The 17,776-nt window shown below is 44.3% G+C and overlaps 1 protein-coding gene across 9 annotated transcripts in view, besides 11 other annotated features; it reads left to right on the top strand.

Moving 5' to 3' along the window:
* Positions 3,722 to 3,911: an enhancer, noted in NCBI's record as "active region_9209". NCBI's record gives its function as "activates an Ori minimal core promoter by ATAC-STARR-seq in GM12878 lymphoblastoid cells {active_cell/tissue: GM12878}" and the evidence as "EXISTENCE:reporter gene assay evidence [ECO:0000049][PMID:35858748]".
* Positions 3,722 to 4,264: a biological region, named in NCBI's record as "H3K4me1 hESC enhancer GRCh37_chr15:38857079-38857590".
* Positions 3,753 to 4,264: an enhancer, noted in NCBI's record as "H3K4me1 hESC enhancer chr15:38857079-38857590 (GRCh37/hg19 assembly coordinates)". NCBI's record gives its function as "activates a minimal SCP1, AML or CMV promoter by ChIP-STARR-seq in primed H9 embryonic stem cells {active_cell/tissue: H9 hESC(primed)}" and the evidence as "EXISTENCE:reporter gene assay evidence [ECO:0000049][PMID:30033119]".
* Positions 4,122 to 4,171: a silencer, noted in NCBI's record as "silent region_6308". NCBI's record gives its function as "represses an Ori minimal core promoter by ATAC-STARR-seq in GM12878 lymphoblastoid cells {active_cell/tissue: GM12878}" and the evidence as "EXISTENCE:reporter gene assay evidence [ECO:0000049][PMID:35858748]".
* Positions 4,328 to 17,776, top strand: part of RASGRP1 (RAS guanyl releasing protein 1) — a 76,712-nt gene continuing 63,263 nt past the window's right edge. For 6 of the 9 annotated variants that reach the window (XM_047432074.1, XM_047432075.1, XM_047432076.1 and 3 more), the window contains exon 1: positions 8,529 to 9,321. In XM_047432074.1, the coding sequence (XP_047288030.1) occupies positions 9,015 to 9,321 (307 nt within the window). In that variant the 5' untranslated portion in view covers positions 8,529 to 9,014. Of the gene's footprint in view, positions 4,549 to 8,528; positions 9,322 to 17,776 lie in introns of those variants that run through there. The other 3 variants (NM_001306086.2, NM_001128602.2, NM_005739.4) reach the window with 1 other exon arrangement.
* Positions 4,332 to 4,571: a silencer, noted in NCBI's record as "silent region_6307". NCBI's record gives its function as "represses an Ori minimal core promoter by ATAC-STARR-seq in GM12878 lymphoblastoid cells {active_cell/tissue: GM12878}" and the evidence as "EXISTENCE:reporter gene assay evidence [ECO:0000049][PMID:35858748]".
* Positions 4,602 to 4,821: a silencer, noted in NCBI's record as "silent region_6306". NCBI's record gives its function as "represses an Ori minimal core promoter by ATAC-STARR-seq in GM12878 lymphoblastoid cells {active_cell/tissue: GM12878}" and the evidence as "EXISTENCE:reporter gene assay evidence [ECO:0000049][PMID:35858748]".
* Positions 4,832 to 5,031: a silencer, noted in NCBI's record as "silent region_6305". NCBI's record gives its function as "represses an Ori minimal core promoter by ATAC-STARR-seq in GM12878 lymphoblastoid cells {active_cell/tissue: GM12878}" and the evidence as "EXISTENCE:reporter gene assay evidence [ECO:0000049][PMID:35858748]".
* Positions 6,647 to 6,746: an enhancer, noted in NCBI's record as "active region_9208". NCBI's record gives its function as "activates an Ori minimal core promoter by ATAC-STARR-seq in GM12878 lymphoblastoid cells {active_cell/tissue: GM12878}" and the evidence as "EXISTENCE:reporter gene assay evidence [ECO:0000049][PMID:35858748]".
* Positions 6,807 to 6,936: an enhancer, noted in NCBI's record as "active region_9207". NCBI's record gives its function as "activates an Ori minimal core promoter by ATAC-STARR-seq in GM12878 lymphoblastoid cells {active_cell/tissue: GM12878}" and the evidence as "EXISTENCE:reporter gene assay evidence [ECO:0000049][PMID:35858748]".
* Positions 11,013 to 11,072: an enhancer, noted in NCBI's record as "active region_9206". NCBI's record gives its function as "activates an Ori minimal core promoter by ATAC-STARR-seq in GM12878 lymphoblastoid cells {active_cell/tissue: GM12878}" and the evidence as "EXISTENCE:reporter gene assay evidence [ECO:0000049][PMID:35858748]".
* Positions 14,518 to 14,597: an enhancer, noted in NCBI's record as "active region_9205". NCBI's record gives its function as "activates an Ori minimal core promoter by ATAC-STARR-seq in GM12878 lymphoblastoid cells {active_cell/tissue: GM12878}" and the evidence as "EXISTENCE:reporter gene assay evidence [ECO:0000049][PMID:35858748]".

Raw genomic sequence — 17,776 nt, 5'->3', positions numbered from 1 at the left:
TTAGAAAAACCTGCTATAAATTTCATATGGAAGCAAAAAAGAGCCTTTATAGCCAAGACAATCCTAAGCCAAAAGAACAAAGCTGGAGGCATCACACTACCTGACTTCAAACTATACTACAAGGCTACAGTAAAAAAAAAACAGCATGGTACCAGTACCAAAACAGAGATATAGACCAATGGAACAGAACAGAGCCCTCAGAAATAATGCTACACATCTACAACCATCTGATCTTTGAGAAACCTGAGAAAAACAAACAATGGGGAAAGGACTCCCTATTTAATAAATGGTGTTGGGAAAACTGGCTAGCCATATGAAGAAAACTGAAACTGGACCCCTTTCTTATACCTTGTACAAAAATCAACTCGAGATGGATTAAAGGCTTAAACATAAGACCTAAAATCATAAACACCCTAGAGGAAAACCTAGGCAATAGCATTCAGGACATAGACATGGGCAAAGACTTCATGACTAAAACACCAAAAGCAATGGCAACAAAAGCCAAAATTGACAAATGGGATCTAACTAAACTAAAGAGCTTCTGCACAGCAAAAGAAAATATCATCAGAGTGAACAGGCAACCTACAGAATGGGAGAAAATGTTTGCAATCTACCCATCTGACAAAGGGCTAATATCCAGAATCTACAAAGAACTTAAACAAATTTACAAGAAAAAACAAACAACCCCATCAAAAAGTGGGCGAAGGATATGAACAGACACTTCTCAAAAGACATTTATGTGGCCAACAAACATATGAAAAAAAGCTCATCATCACTAGTCATTAGAGAAATGCAAATCAAAACTACAATGAGATACCATCTCATGCCAGTTAGAATGGCAATCATTAAAAAGTCAGGAAACAACAGATGCTGGAGAGAATGTGGAGAAATGGGAACACTTTTACACTGTTGGTGGGAGGGTAAATTAGTTCAACCATTGTGGAAGACAGTGTGGCAACTCCTCAAGGATCTAGAACCAGAAATACCATTTGGCGCAGCAATCCCATTACTGGGTATATACCCAACGGATTATAAATCATTCTACTATAAAGACACATGCACATGTATGTTTACTGCAGCACTGTTCACAATAGTAAAGACTTGGAACCAACCCGAATGCCCATCAATGATAGACTGGATAAAGAAAACGTGGCACATATACACCACGGAATACTATGCAGCCATAAAAAAGGATGAGTTCATGTCCTTTGCAGGGATATGGATGAAGCTGGAAACCATCATTCTCAGCCAACTAACACAGGAATGGAAAACCAAACACCGCATGTTCTCACTCATAAGTGGGAGTTGAACGATGAGAACACATGGATACAGGGAGGGGAACATCACACACTGGGGCCTGTCTGGGGGTGGGAGCTAGGGGAGGGATAGCATTAGGAGAAATACCTAATGTAGATGACGGGTTGATGGGTGCAGCAAACCACCGTGGCACTTGTATACCTATATTACAAACCTGCACGTTCTGCACATGTATCCCAGAACTTAAAGTATAATGATTTTTTTAAAAGCACGAATATTATCCTCATTAGCTACCTTATAAGAATGTTATATTAAATGATGTATTTTGTGAAAAAAAAAAAAAGTTTGTTCTTGAGGTCAGAGGTGCCTCATATAACACCAGGCAGACTAATCACATGGCCGATGATTAAAAGAGACATAGACAAACTTCTCATTTTTTAGATGTTTGGAAAAGACTTATTGCTCAGGTAGGAGTAGCCAGAAAACCTCAAAAAAGAGCTCGAGGGGGCCCAGAAGCAGAATCAGATGCAAGTGAAGTGCAGAGTACTCAGAAAGTCCAAGAGAAAAACACTCGCTGGGCATATGTAGGCCTCTTTCTTTAGAAAACTCAGCAAGACTCATGTATTGAATGAATTAATAACCTTGGTTTCAACCATTTGTATATATGTGGACTGTAGGTGTGCAGATGTGTGTAACTGCCTACATGTGCACTTAGTATTATGCATATATGTATATTTACATATAAATATAATGATGCATTTACATAAAGGCATCCATTTGGCATACATACCTATGCATATGCAGTATAAGGCTGGATTATTCCCCTGCCACACACAAAGATTTTGCTGTCCAAAGACTCAGTGCAATGAATGGCATGGAAGGGGCTCTATTTTCAAGGGTGAAGCAATAGAGAAATACCGAAGGCCTCGGATAACCTGTGATGGGGATCCCACGAAAGCCACCGGGGACAGTGCCAGTAAGCTTATCACTCCTGCCATAGACAGCGGACTTCAAAGAAAAACTGAAACCCTTTCTCCGGAAATAATCAGGAAGGATCTTATTTTCTTCTTTGAGGTCAGCACATTTTGCTTTTCAAAATCAAATCCACAGCAGTTCATTAGTAATGTCCCACAGGTACTGCCTCAAGTTGGCAGCTGTGGAAGCTAAAGAAGCATAAGACCTGATTCTTGACCTCGGACAATTTACAGTTTAGCTGTGGAGGTAAGACAGGGACACAGAATATTATGTGGCAATTGAAAGTGTAAATATTATAGATTTAAGTAGGGTAAAGAGCTCATTCTGTAGTAGAGGGGTCAGTGAAAAGTAATTGTTCACCTGGTAATAAGAGAAGATCTCTGTGAACAAAGTCTAAGACTGCAAACTTAGGACTGTTGGGAGATAGTCAGATAGATTCATATATAGATACAAATCTTTACCATCCTCAGACATCCGCCAACTTGGTTGTTTAGGTTGTAGGGCTTACATGAGGAAGGGTGTATAATAGATAACTCTAAAAATGTTTGAGCCTTAGACCCAGTGAGTGAGAAAGAGTGTCATCATTTAATATTCTCCTGACATTCACCTGCCCCTTCTGCATCTGTGGCTGTGACTGAGGACTTGGTTCTTTATATCACCCAGTGTTCATGAGGATTCTCTGGAGAAATTTCTTGCTGGTCTCAGTATCAAGAAAGGGGGATCTTCTCTTGAGCAATTTTGTTTTTGGTCTTGCATGTGATAGGAATTGAACTTTAGACAAGGCCTCTCTTTAAACTTGACTGCTAGAAATGCAGGAGACAAATTTTGGTCCCACCTGTAGCAAGGGTATTTGACTCTATGAGATGCATTTATTTCAAATGATGTTCATTTTTGGCTCCATCTTGTGTGCCTCATTTTTCATTTCACACACTTCTTTTTGTAGGTTATGTGCTCTTGTAAGCTATCTCGAATTCTGTTTTAAGGACAAGGTAGCATATAAATATAAGGAAATATATAAATGAAACAGAGGAAGGCTTTAAAGTCCAGAACACTATGGCCAGGAAGACAACTATGACTGTGGCTAGAGTTATGGTCTGTGGCCGTGATAATGAGTGTGTTATTAGGGCAGTCCAGCAGTGATTACAGGGAGTCAGACAGACCTCAGTCCAAGTCAGAGGTCTCTCTGCTGTTTATTAGTTGTATGATCTAAGGCATAGCATTCTCTAAACCTTCATTTTCTCATCTTTACAACAGTGATCTCTTTGTATCAGGGAGAGTGGATTAAATGAGGTAATGTATAGAAAGCACTTAGCACAACCGCACTCAATCATTAGCTATTGAGATTATCAGCACTATCACCTGGACAAGCAGCGGATGGGCCGCCCCTCTTGGCCAGGTCTTCTGTGCGCACTGACGTTGTATGAAAGTTGTCCCCACATCTCCTACACCCACCGACGCCAGGCGGCCGCGTCTGGGCCAGATATGGATCACGCCTGTGGAGCGCACCTCCACACAGGCAGCCCTCGTCCAAGGTGCAGGGCGCAGGGCACAGGGCACATGTCTACGGCCCAGTCCTGCAGACGGCTACCTAGAGACCCCAGGGCACAGGTTAAGGCAACTTCACAACTGTCTTTCCGTTCCTTTCCCCTGCCGGACTCCGCGCTCTGATATATACAGGAGAGGCCCTGGAGGGGAGAAGGCGTCCTCACTGCAGTGCTCCGAGCAGCGGCCGCAGGAAGAGGCGTGGAAGCTGCGGGTCGGCTGCGGGAAAGGGGGTCCCATGGGAGCCGCTAGGCGCAGCCCGTTTCCCGAGCTGAGGTGGAGGTCGACGGGCACAGGTGCCCTGCAAGGCGCGGGCGTGGTAGCCGGGAGCCCGCTCCTCTCCAACTCCCCTGAGACTTAACCCTTTGGCCAAGAGAGGTCGAAGGCGGGCAGGGGTGAGAGAACCGCGCGAGGCGCAGGCCGGGGCACCCGCGGAAAGGGGGCAGGTTTCGGGGAAGAGCGGCGGGGCGCCGCACGTTTCCTGCAGCCGCCAGCATCAGCGTGTCAGGTGGTTGCCAGGCGGGTGTGAGCGCGCGCGCGAGGCAGAGGGGGCGCGCTCGCACAAAGTTTGTGCCTGCGGTGCACCTCGGTCGGGCTCGCCGGGCTCGAGGGCTGGCGGGCGCCGGGGCTACGAGGCCCGGGGGGGAGAGAGCCGGCAGGCGGCGGCGGTGGTGGCGGGGGCGATGCGCCGCGCCCGGCCGCGCTAGGTGAGCCGGCACCGGGAGCGCGGGCCGCGGCCATGGGCACCCTGGGCAAGGCGAGAGAGGCTCCGCGGTGAGTAGAGGCGGCCGTGGCCCTCGGGAGCGCCTGTGTCCTTTCTTGGGAAAGAGGCCCCTGCCCGTCGCCCCAACACCCCGAGGGAAGTTGAGGGCGGAGGGGGGCCGGGGTCGGCCGGAGTCCCGGGACACCAGCGCGACGGGCGGACGTGTCCAGAACGCCCGGCGCGCTGCGCCCGGGGTTTCGGGGAGGGAGCTGGGGCTGAGGGGTGGTAGAGGGGCGGCCGCGAGGCCAGAGCTCGTCCGGTGAGATCTGCTAGGGCCGAAGCTCTTCGCGGAGCCGGCGCCCGCCCGCCGACTTCCTCCCCCACATCTCCACGCCCGGCATCGGGACTCCCACTCGCGGACTTTCCGCGCTGCCCGCACCTGCTGGGGCGCTGGGCTCCGGCTGCGCCACCTGGTGGCCCCTCCCGGCCCTGCCCAGAACGGCCGAGGAGCTTGCAGGGAGCCCGCAGAGGTGGCACCCCTCGGTTGCCCCTGCCCCACGGAAGTTTCCAGATCCGTGGGTCAGGGAAACATATCGCCTTCCGTATGGGAAGCTGCACTCCTCTCCCCCTCACTATGATTCTATAGAGGGTCTTGGATAACAGAAGTTGAAGAAAGAGGGACAGTGAGTGAAAGGGCTCTTGGCCAGGCAGCTTTGAGTTTGTAGCCAAAGGACCAGAACTAGGCAACTGCATGAACAAAGGCCTGGCCTCGGCGTAGGGGCTGGACAAGTTGTGCACTTCACAACTCCATTCACATCGACACTGATGGGACTGTGCCTTGCACCACCATACCCAGTAGCGGCAGGAAGCTTGCGATGCTGGACTTCCCGTGCTTATAATCCCAGGAACGAAGGATTCTTGGCCCTGTATGCACGCCCTGCCTCTCCCCATCCAGGTATCCCCTGAGGGTCCACCACTGTACTTTGCACTAGATTCAGAAGGAGGAGTTCAGTACATTAAATTGAGTATTGTAAGGGGAAGAGGACGGGACTGGAAGGAATCCATACTAGAAGTCAAGAGAGTCACCTTCCACTGCAAAGAAAGTTGTGGAAGTTCCAGTTCCCTTGCTCCATTTCATCTCTTACTTTTCTAGGCGGATTTCATAAAAAGCTCAGCCTGAAACTGACCTCCACTGAGATACCTATGCCTGGAGAGGATTTCACCTAAACCAGTTTAGAGTTTTGACGGTCTCCTTCAGCAAACCTATGGGGCTTTGGTTACTTTTAGGCTTGGAAAACACCTTCAAGTTAATTTGTTTCTCTCGGGGTTTTGGTTTTTTCATTTACAGGAAAACATTTGGCTACTGTATTTTTTTAAAAAATATGCCTTTACAGACTCAGAGGCCATTCATTCTATGGATTGTTAAAACACCTTCGACCTGCCTATAATAGAGCATTTTATAAATCCTTGTCTACTCCCATTTCACCAGAAAAGGCAGAACGATTTGAGGATTTTTCACAAGGCAACCAGTTAAGAGACTGTACAGCAAGAAAGCCAGGTTTCCTAGTCTATGGTGCAGATAATCCCCATCTTCTTAGAACTCTGAGGCTGCACTTTGGCTTTTAGTACTTTCTCTTCTCCCTGTTCTCTCATGGCCTAGTCCTCTGAGTCTCTCTGGGCTCCATACTTCCCAGATTGCTTTTGTCACCCTTTCTTCCCTTTTACTACCCTATACTTTACCCTGATCCCTTCTAGTTCTGGTAAAAGCATCAACCTTCAAGAATCCACTTATGAAACAAAGCGGTTTCTCTTACTGGTGACACTAGGAAACTTTACCAGAATTAGAAAACAGGGCAGGATTAGGAGTCTTGAATGGTCAGTGTCACCAACCAAGAAAGAAAATGGAATTTTCCTTGGATCTGTAGCCACCTCCCCTCCACCCCTAGCAGGAAGAGCTCTGTCAGTAGATAGAGCCTCTAGTTGCAGTTGCCTCTTCTCCAAGGTCTAGGGAGAAGTATTGTGGAAGGCCTGAGAGAAGGAGACTTCTACAATGAATGACTTTATTTTTTTAAAACCTTTCCCCTACTCTGCCTTTGGTGGAGGTCTTAATGGTGACAAAGGCAGCAGCTGGGGCAGAAAGCTGAGTAATCCCAGCAGTGGCTATGTAGCCCCAGGTGTAGAGAGTTGTTAGTGCTTCCAGGAAGGGAAGGGCGCCCACCTGGGGCGCACTGCATGGGCCACAAGGGGCTGGCTTCTAGCCTGTCTCTGCAGTGGTGGCCAGGCACGTTGCTCTTCTGATTCTGGACCTCCACACTGTAGAAGGGGGCTTTGGAAAATGACCATAAAGAGTCTGTCCAGCTCTAGGGACCTGAGGACAGTTCTGAGGGCCTGCAAGAGGAATATGGGCTGAGATTCAGCCTTTACATTACCAGTTATGCTTTTGAAGGATTTTGCTTTCATTTTAAATTGAATTGACCTTTTCAGCCTCTCTGTGATTGTCTACTACTAATCCTGATGTTGTGAAATGTGCAGAGTTCCAGGCACAGTCAATATTTATTAAATGAATAAAGCCAGAGAGGTGCTGGGTACAAATCTCAGGTTGATTATATATGAGTTTTATAACCTTGGCTATGTCATTTACCCTTTTTTAGATTCAGTTTCAGTGTCATGAGATGGGGATAACATCCTTCTGGGCTGTAAGCCTCAAGACAGGGTCAGTCCCCAGCACGGTACCTGCCATAGCATAGGTACTCAATTCATGTCACCATTATTATTTTGCTTTTAGAGACTGATCCAATTCTGGGGCTATCACAGGGCCTGTTTGAAAATCAATTATGGCCAGAAACTTGAGTCCTGTACCACCGACTTGATCTTTCAGGAATTACTGCCTAGGGTTAGCAGATGCCCAATAACCAATTGTTGATTCAGTTTCACTGGACCTGCATCAGGTCAGAATAGAGCCGAGCGGCCACTGCAGACCAGCGCCCTGGAGCTAGTTTGAAACAACCTGAAGGGCCAGGGTGCCCCTGCACAGGTCTAGCTGTGTACTGAGTGGCCCCATAGTTCAGTTATACACCATCTCTTAGCAGGCTGGTTTCCCAAAACCCACATGTGCCTAGCATTTTATTTTGATCTAAGCACTTCTTCAGCCCCTTTGGTTGAGATTATATCCTGTCAGAGCAGCTTTCCCAGACACTGTCCCACAAACTGCCTCTTTCTTCTCTGGGAACATCATGCTTATTACTCTTGACACTCATAGAACACTTATTTAACATTTATGTAGCTTTCTTTTCATTATCTCAGTCTGATTCCTCAGCTATATTTTTGTATTAAGGAACTTCTAGACTGCCATTATGTAACAACAGCAGCTAGTATGTAATGAGTATATAAAGTACCCTCACCTAGACTATCTCGCTGTGGTCTTCTCTGGCCAATCACAATGCCTTACTCATAGAATAAACACTTAGAGATTAATTGATGCCATTATGCATTTATCATATATAGTGAGTAAAGTTACACTTCAGAGGTACGTTTTTTTCCTTTTTCTCTTTGCTGCTTTGGTAGTAAACTACAAAATAACCAAAGCCACAGTAGAGAGAGGAGAATTAACTAAATGCTCAAGAGAGTTACCAGCAACACTCATCACTATTAAACCATAAAAGATTATAGATATGGATCTGTGTGTGTATGTGTATTTTTTAATGGAGAAGACAATCAACTTCCCAAATCATTTCGCAAAATGACTTGTACTGATGAGGTCATGACCAGAGATAGAGCTGCGTGTGAGTAGATGAAAGTCCATTGGACTCTTAAGCCATTTCTAGATCCAAACTTGCCCTTTTACACTGAGTGCTGGAACAACGCTCTCACAGCTCTGCTTTCTGTTTCAATCAGGACCCAAGTAAGGATTTGAAAAAACGATGTTTAGTAACAAAAATGACTCATAATGGTTACCTGTATTATCAACCATGAAAAACAATATCTTAAAACCAACCAAGATTTGTAAGAAAGGCAGGACTCGCTTAAAATCTAAACACCACCATCATCACCCCTCACTTCCTGCACTTGAGTCCTCAGTCTTTGACTTCTCCCCCAAGGTCCTTAACGATGATTCTGAGGCTGCCTGACCTTGTGTAGTATCTCAGGTATTGCTCAAGATTAATGAAGTTAGCCAAAGATGATCTCGAACTCCCGACCTCAGGTGATACACCCGCCTTGGCCTCCCAAGGTGCTGGGATTACAGACGTGAGCCACCATGCCCTGCCAAAGTTAGCCAAAGAAACCAATGTAAATAATTTTTAAGATTCAAGTCAGTGGCTTAGTAGCTGAAAAAATGTATACATTGCTGGGAGCTAAGGACTGCCAAGATAGTCTTGCCTCTGCCATTCCCCTTCAGGAAGTGGGAGACAGTAGGACAGAGCAATCCTAATGCCAGGATGAAGAGCACTAGTTGCAACCCTGAAATCTCACCTTTGCTGGGGAGATGTCTCTTTAACAGCCAACCAGTCATTTGGTGCATTTGCCAAGTGGGAGGGGTATGGCTTCTATCAGCCCAGCTCCTGAGATTAATTGTCTTATCTCCATTCCCTTCCTCTCCAATCTGCCTTCAGAGCGTGGAGCTGCCCGTTTGTCCCCTCACTGCCTTCTCTCTTTCCCCAGGAAACCTTCCCATGGCTGCAGAGCTGCCTCTAAAGCAAGACTAGAGGCAAAGCCAGCCAACAGCCCCTTCCCCTCCCATCCCAGCTTGGCCCACATCACCCAGTTCCGAATGATGGTGTCTCTGGGACATTTAGCCAAAGGAGCCAGCCTGGACGATCTCATTGACAGCTGCATTCAATCTTTTGGTAAGTTGGCTAACTGCCCACAGGCATAAAAATCACTCTATTACTTTGTTCGTCCTTTAAAAGTGCTTTACGGAACAGCAATCTAGATTGTATTTTGGCTTTAAAAATAGCTTTTGAGCCTTTGAAATGTTGGAGACAGTCTGCAGAGCCTATGGCACATGACTATGTGGGTGTAATAGGTCGTGATGAGAAGTGCAATTTTAAAGTGAGAAAAGTTAGGAGAGTTTGCATTTCCATTTTTCTTAGGATGGAGGTTTTTCTTGTGATGAAAAATATCATAAAATGATATTGTGCATCTGGTGCTTTGAGACTTTTCTGTCCTTGCCTTCTTGGGGCACATAAAGACTGTTACATGAGCAAACTTTGTTATCAAACAGAAATTGGAATCATTTGGAGGAATAAAGTCCCAATAATTCCCCTTGCAATCTGGAGGGCAGATGTGGTGGAATAGGAAAGGACTGGGTAAAGCCAGGAGGTTTGTGACGAGAAGACACTGGTTAATAAATGTTGCAATGCAGGGTCAAGGGGCTGGGAAATAAATGTGGACACGCACATTTCAGACGCTGCACTCTGTCAGCACCTTTGCCCACCATGAGGGAGGCACAGCTTAGTGCAGCCATCAAGCAATTATCTGAAAAGATTTTTTAAAATGTTATAAGCGTGGTGTATTTTTGGATTTTTATTTGTGAAATAGTGATTGAAAAGTACTAAATATTTCCTCCCAAAAAATGATTAAAATTGATGGATTTCAATGAAATCATTGAATTCAAAGATTTCCAGCTTCCTGTTCCTCCTGTGGACCCCTTTTTGTATCCCTCCATCTCCCACGGTGAAGCAGAGGAGCCTGTGTGGCACAGCTCAGACATACCAACCCCCCCAAGCCTACCCCAACCCTGGGAGCCTCCTGGGAACCTAAGGGAGGCTTAGTCAGATCCTAGGCAGCTCATGATCCATGAGATCTCAGAATGACGGACTAGTGGCTGTGTGTGTTAAGTGCTTGCTCAGACCTTATGTATAGAATTGGGAAATACTTGACATGTTAGGGATATTCATTTAGTACAATGTAGTACAGCATTGAACAGTTTCAACTATTTCAACGTTGGTTTAAAGTACTGGTTCTCAAACATTAGAGTGTCAGAATCACACATGGAGGCTGTTTTTTGTTTGTTTCTTTGTTTTGTTTTTTAGCACACATTGCTGGGCCCCAACCCCAGAGTTTCTACTCCAGTAGGTCTGGGGTGGGGCACAAGAATTTGCATTTCTAACAAGTTCCCAGGCCATGCTGTTGCATCTGACCCAAGAAGCGCACTTCGCGAATCATTGCTTTAAAGTGCTGTTTGTTGTAGACTTTTTAACTTGGAAAAGAGGAAGAATTTTTAGTATTACTAGTTTAGCATTAAATTTTCATTAGATTTCTCTTTATTTTATACTTCAATCTTATTTCACACTTTAATCATTCAGTTAAGATGAATCTGGGAGCAGAATGAATGGCTTTCTATTTCAAAATAATCTCCTTAGAAAATATACTGCGAGGAGATAAACTAGAGGATGGTGGAGACCGGGGAGGCGCGGCTGACGTGGGGCCATTGTTCATCATGTACTCCACTCTCACTTCCTTCCCAACCTGAATAAACTGCAAAGTTCCTTACACCATTTCAGCAGTCAGATTTACTCGGCTTTAGCAGGCCACCATGACTATTTCCTGAATAAGGATTTTTCTTCTTTCTGTTTCACTATTGAAAAAAGAGGGACGAGAAACATGTTTATCACACCACCTTCCTTCCTTCCATACCTGTTGTGCAACTGCCGGCCGAGTTCAAGACTGTTTTTCTAATCTTCAAAGAATCATGTTATCAACCTGAAAAATACATGACTGATTCTGAAGTCCTTCCCGCCAAATAACCAAGCCTAATTCAATCCCCTTAACAGACCTTCCAAAGGCAACGACAATATATTGTGTTCTGGAATATGTTGAACTGAAAACAATGGCTTAAAATCCCAAAGCTGTAAAAGTCCCGTTGAGTCTAATAGTCTTTTATCCATTATCAAGCAGCATTGGTTAAGCCCTTAATTGTATCTGACACTGTGCTAGGCAGTGCTCAAGAAGAATTACAGCGACCAAACTCTCCCTTCCATTAGAGCTTACAACACCTGAGAAACATACTGTTCAGGAAATATATATATATATATACACACACACACACACACACACACACACATATATATACAAAGGACAGGGTGATAAATACCGAAGGCATGCAGGAAGAGTAAGTTTTTATACCATGTAGAGTTTGAGTAAGTGCACCTCATGGGTGAGGACATAGGTCAAGGAGAACAGCCACCATTTGTTCAAGTCCCTCACGGGCCAAGGGAATGCTGCGGGAAGTCAGTAAGGTAAGATCTCAGGGTTTTGTGTATTATGTACTGCAGAGTTTCTCATCACAGTACATGAAAGAGGCAAAAAAGAAAAGACGCTCTGTGTCTGGAAGGAACAGAAGCCAGCACCTTTTGTCTGTCTCTCTTCTTGCTCTTTGGTTATCAGTTGACCCATCTATGGGGCTGGGACATGGAAATTGGGCTACAGAGGAAATGGAGCCAGGAATCAGCAGCAGACTTTATGAGGGAGAAAAGCCCATAGCAAAATATATGCCTGTGCTTCCGTAGGTCTCTTTAAGAGGTCATCTGACAGTAGAACAGAGTGAGGCTAATGCTTCTCCTGAAGTTTACCTTACTGGTTAGTTTCTCAGGTTTGTAGAGAAAAGTGGTGCTTTAGATTAAAGCAGTCTAGCTAGCTTTTTGTTAATGAGTTTAGATGTCTTCTCATTTTAAACCCACGAAAAACTGTACAGAAGTGTGGAGGGGAAATTATTATCATTATTATTATTGGGACTCTTTTGCCTCAGACCGTAATTTCAGCTACTCCACCCAGCAACTTGAATAAAAGAGGGAAAGAAACTGTTTTAAAGAGAAAGACTGAATAATTGTTAATTTAGTTTCTACTGCCTCTCAACCTCACCTTCTTGCTTTCAGGAGGTTTGAATTGGCTACAGCTGTGCTGTCCAATGCACTGGCCACATGTGGCTATTTTCGTATACATTTCAATTAAAGTTAAATGTAAGATTTCATTTCTAAGCCTCACCAACCATAGGCGAAGTGTGCAATAGCCACAAATGGCACCTACTGTTGGACAGAGGAGAGAGCACTTCCATTGTTGCAAAAAAGTCAGTTGGACAATGCTGGAGAGGGTAGATGTTTGTCGCAAAGGAAAAAAGAATAGATTTTCTACAAACTGTGGGATTTGCATTTTGCTAGCATTTCTAGATAAGAGTCTGAGTATTGCTTAAAGCATCGTGGGCATTCAGAAGTCTCACTGATGGCTATCTCTTTAGCATTATTAACCATTAATTACCACCCACACTGTTCTCAGAAGAAGGACTTATATTGCTTTTAAGGGCAGTGGCTAGTACATATAAATTAAGAGCACTTTCAAAGGCCTCTAGCAAGCCTCTCAGTGTCACATACAAGGTTACAGATCTGTGACTAGAAACTTACGGCCTTGAGTCATAGTTCATTGCTTTAACCATGAAACAACCCACTCCCGCCTTCTGTTCTAACCAGAGATCATGCTTTACATTCTCAGCATATTATTGCTAGTTAATCCTCTCTTCAGCTGAGCATAATAAGGCAAATCATCACAACCTGGTTACACTTATGTCAAATATATGTGAATCACACCATCTGTTTCAGAGGTAGAAAAGACCTATGAGATCATCTGGGCTTTTATTTTTTTTCCCTTTACAAGAGGGCTGCCAGCATTTGGGGCCAAATGGAAGGCTTCAAATGTCTGAATTCACAAAGCTCTTTCCTTATCTCCCTCTCAATGCAAGACAACTTCTGACAGCATCGGAAAGAAAACTGCACACCTGCCTCAGAACGGGCCCCCCCAACACACATACACAACTCCACCCCAGCAAGCAGACCTCCTACTCCCAGTGAGACGTGGGAAGAAACTCCATGTTTCATCTTACCTATTAGTGTGAAGGGAAATGCTTCCTAATATCTTCTATTTATGGACTGACTTATTTTTTCTTAGAGTTCCATTTTTATTGATTTTCTTTTATACTGAGAACAGCTCTGAAATAGGCAGGTCAGATATTACTCTCTCCATTGAACAAACAGGAAAATAAACCTTTGAGAACTGAAAGAATTTGCCTTGTGCCCCCAGTCTCAAGAGAGGATATGCTGCTCCTGTTCTCCTTCCCCTACCCCTAGCAGCCACTTGCAACCTGGGTTGGGGCAAGCCTGGATCTCTCTCCTAAGACAGGCCTTCCTACACTCAGGGGAGACCTGCATGCCACATAGGACAGGGCTGCACCTGGTGCCCACTCTTCTGCAATCCTGGTGTCTCCCCAGTTAGAAATGAAACTCCATTCAATGTAAGAAATATTGATTGCACCCAATCTATATACCAGGTGTCTGCCTGATATTCTCTATTGAGCAAAGTGTGAATCAGTGAATTCTTGTGTGAATTGTACTAATGCTATCCAAAGACCTTCCAAACTAGAAATACCCCAAAACTAATAAGTATGTTTTCTCCACCATGGAGCAGTTGGATATTAAAAGCATTTTATAGGCCTCAGCTTATTGAAAGTAAAACATTCCGTCTCTTTTCAAAATGGGAGCCGCAAAAGGCAAACACACACTCAGGGCCATAGCCCTCTCCGTAACAAAGGAAAGATTAGGTATTTCTTACCACTCTGCAACTTGGTCTGTGCACCAAAGCAAGGTGCCCAGAGGGCAACAGGAGCATAAGACCAGAAGCCAAGGGCCATGACATCATTGGGGATGCAGACCTAATAACAGGCAACACCAAGGAACAAAGTCAGTTGTAGTGTCAGGAAGGGGCCGAAGCCTTAGCCACTGTTGATGGCAGGCCCTGTGTGAAGAACACAGCTTTCCCAGAAGCCTCCTCAGTGGAACCTCCCAGTCGCTAGTAGTCGTGGCTACAAGATTTCACGTGTAAAGGATGGTCCTCGGGGGCACTTGCATCCTGAGGCTTCTAGTCATCAGAGCAGCTCCCAGGCCGCTCTTAGCCCTCTAGAATGAATTAGCATTATTATAAGACTGGACACTATTTATTCCAAGGAGGCCTTTGCTGCATCTTTGATGAGCAGGCATCACCAGTTCTCCACGCTGGTCTGCCTTCTCATGAGCATGGGTTTCAGTGACTGCCAGGCCTGAGAAAGGAGGAGATGGGAAATCCCCTTCATTCATATCTGTGCTCTCCTGCTTGGCAGTGTTTGTTGCAGGCCCCGCTGTAGAGAACAGAGGCAATGCTTATGCGTAAGTTAGACAGTGTCTCAGGAATTCTGAGCAGTTCAATTCAGTAAAGCCATCCAGAGAGATGAGTTTTACTTCTGAGAGAGCTGGAGACAGACAGTAGTTTAACACTTATTGTGGACTCTGTAGGATCCTGAGCCTTTACCTAACTTGACCCAATTAATCCTCCCAACAACCCTATGAGGTGGTTGTTATTTTGCTCCTTTAACTAATAGAGAATTGTAGCTCAGGGAAGTTAAATGACCTGTGGAAAGTGGTTCAGCTCATTAGTGAGAGAGCTGCTGAGATGTGAACTCTGGTCAGTCTTCCCCCGAGGTTCGCGTTCTTTCTGCTACTCCAGAGATTCTCCAACTTTGGCGTGAGGAATAATCAGGGAGTGTGTTGAACATTCAAATTCCTCACAGTCAACCCCAGAGATTGCCATTCAGCCAGCAGTCACTGGTTTGGATGGAGGTGACCCATGAATGGATGTTGAGAAATACTGTCGTATAGCACACTTGCTTCCTGAACATCCCAGATCATTTTTCTCAGACATCCTAGGAAAACCTGAAGGGCACAAATCTCCAGGGAAGCAATAGAGCATATAGGTTTTTCAGCTATGTGAACTAGAAAAGCACATGGTGAAGCCAGCCTCTTGGAGATCTCTAAAACAATCCAGCCAGATCTAATGAGATCCCTGCCTAAGAGCAGGTCTGAAACCCTGGGAGCACTTTTATCAGATTTTTCTGCATTCCTATCTCTTCTCAACTGCAGTAAGCCCCCTATAAAATGTACAGCACGCCTGTCTGTTGGCTGTGTAAATAGAATGTGGATGTCTGTTACAACTACAGTTTGATTCTTGCATTCAAAGGCCATATTCCTAGTGTACATTTCCACCTTTATTCAACACTCCAGTTTCCTATGGTGCTGGGAGGGTCTACTCCGTAACTTATGCCCGTCCCCATGGGTCAGAGGACTACAGTAGTGGCTTAGCTGGGGAGGAACTGGGGAGTGCTTCTCCTGAGTACTTACCCAAAAGTACTACTTTGGCAACAGATTATGTAAGGCAATATGTTGAACTGAAGTTTATGAAATCTGTGATGAAAACACATTGGGAAACTGTGTGAAAGCAAAAACAGTCTTTTCAGTAATTGACAGAAACAGCTGTGTTGGACCCTGAGACCCCTGGAGAAGGTCATCTACAGTTCGGGCCCCAGCCGCAGCCCACCTGCTGATGTTAGAACTTGTCCACTCCTGCCCGGAACAATTATAGCTGCTGTGTCTTGTTCTGGAGTTACAGTGAGCTTTGGCTACAACCTAGTTGGGCTTGCCCTAGAGTGGCTGGAAGGAAAAGAACGGGGAAAGAGTGAGAATGTAAGCAGAGCCAGCTTCCTGGGCATGCCACCTCTGAAGGCCCACAGGTTCCCATGCTTGGTTTAATGCTGTCACAGTCTTGAAATTTTTAATAATTTTTGAATAAGGGACCATCATTTTTAATTGCACTGAGTCCCACCAACTATGTAGTCAGAGGTCTGTGTAAGAGCCACAAGACCAGAGGGCAAAAATAATTTGCCATATATTGAAGACACATAGAACGATGTGGATTTATGTCTTAATTTCTTTCTTCATAGATGCAACTGTGAAACAAAAATTATTTCATTATCTCCTAGCAGTGGTGTGCTGGGCTGGCTCATACCAGCTCACAAGAGCAGATTGTTAAATTTTCAGGAATTTTGCAAGCTAGTTATTAAACACAGCCATGATTGAAAATTAAGTTATATATGCTTACAATTAAATTATATTAAAAACAAAGATAAGAAATACTCAAAACTCACCACTTCCTAATTCATGACTACATTTTACTATTATCTTTGCTTTTGAGGTTATGTCTGTTATGTCTACCTGGTACAAACGCTATATAATGGTATGCTAGCATGCATCTTTTCCCAGCTCCGTGTTCAGTGAAGTCATGTTAGTAGCTTGTTAGTAGTCTGTTGGGAGTATTTACACCGTGGAAATCAACAAACATCACTAATCAGGGCTTCCTTTTCAATCCCTCCCCTGGAGAGCCCATTGTTAAACATTTACCAGCACACCACTGTTTCCCAGATACAGAGGGTGCTTACATAACAAAATGTTGAGGTGGGAAGGGACCCTAAAAGCTGAGACTTCTATTTTTTATCTCTTAATTAAGAGAAAGTAATAATTCTGCTATTATTTTGCTTTCATCTATGTATCTTATAAAACAACCTCTCTGTGTGTTCTTCAAAGGAAAGGAACAATGGACCTTAGAGATAAGGAAATCATGTATCAGTGTGGTTGAGAAGTTTTCTTAAAGAAGTGACAATGGAACATGAAAACAGCATGAGAGATTCTCATTCTGAAGTCAAAGTTATTTCGTGTTTGTATTGTTTTAATTCACCTCTAAAATATCTCTTAAGATTAACCAGCCTCGTTTCTGACCAACCCTCAATTTTGTGAACTTTTGTTCTTCATGTATTATATGCTATCTCTATTTTGATTTCTGATTCCATCTGCTTAATCATTTGCCTTCATTACCCACTGCATGGTAACAGGCACTACTGGTGTCTATAACCAAGCTTTTGTTGAGTATGTTTTCATAAGTTTGTTTGCCTACTGTATTTCCAGTTTTATGAACGGTCTGTTCATATCCTTTGCCTATTTATCACTTGCTGCTCAATGCTTTTATTATTAGAGGCGTGCAAAAGCTTTTTATATAAAAAGCTGTTAACTCTTTGAATATCATTTACTATAGGCATTTTTTTTCCTGTTCTCATTTTCATTTTTATGTTGGTTTTGATATTGTCATGTATAGAAACTTCGGATTTTTGTGTTTAAATTTGCCCATTTCTATTTAGCTTTTTAAAATTCTAAACCTTAAAAAAATCCCTATTCCAAAGATTTAATTAATAGTCCATTGTCATTTTAATCAGTTTTACTTAACCCAGTGTATAATTCCATATCATACATTGTCGTGGATGATCAATACAAGCTTGTCAATAAGTTATTGCTGGCAAAAAAGAAGCCTTCAGTTTTGTTTCTGAGATTGTCATTTCCTTAAAACCACAGCGCTTGGACTGGTCGCTTTGTAACTCAGAGCCTCCGTTTCTCGCTG

Source organism: Homo sapiens, chromosome 15 (assembly GCF_000001405.40).
Source record: "Homo sapiens chromosome 15, GRCh38.p14 Primary Assembly".
Classification (NCBI taxonomy): domain Eukaryota; kingdom Metazoa; phylum Chordata; class Mammalia; order Primates; family Hominidae; genus Homo; species Homo sapiens.
This window is presented reverse-complemented; position numbering and strand designations above follow the sequence as displayed.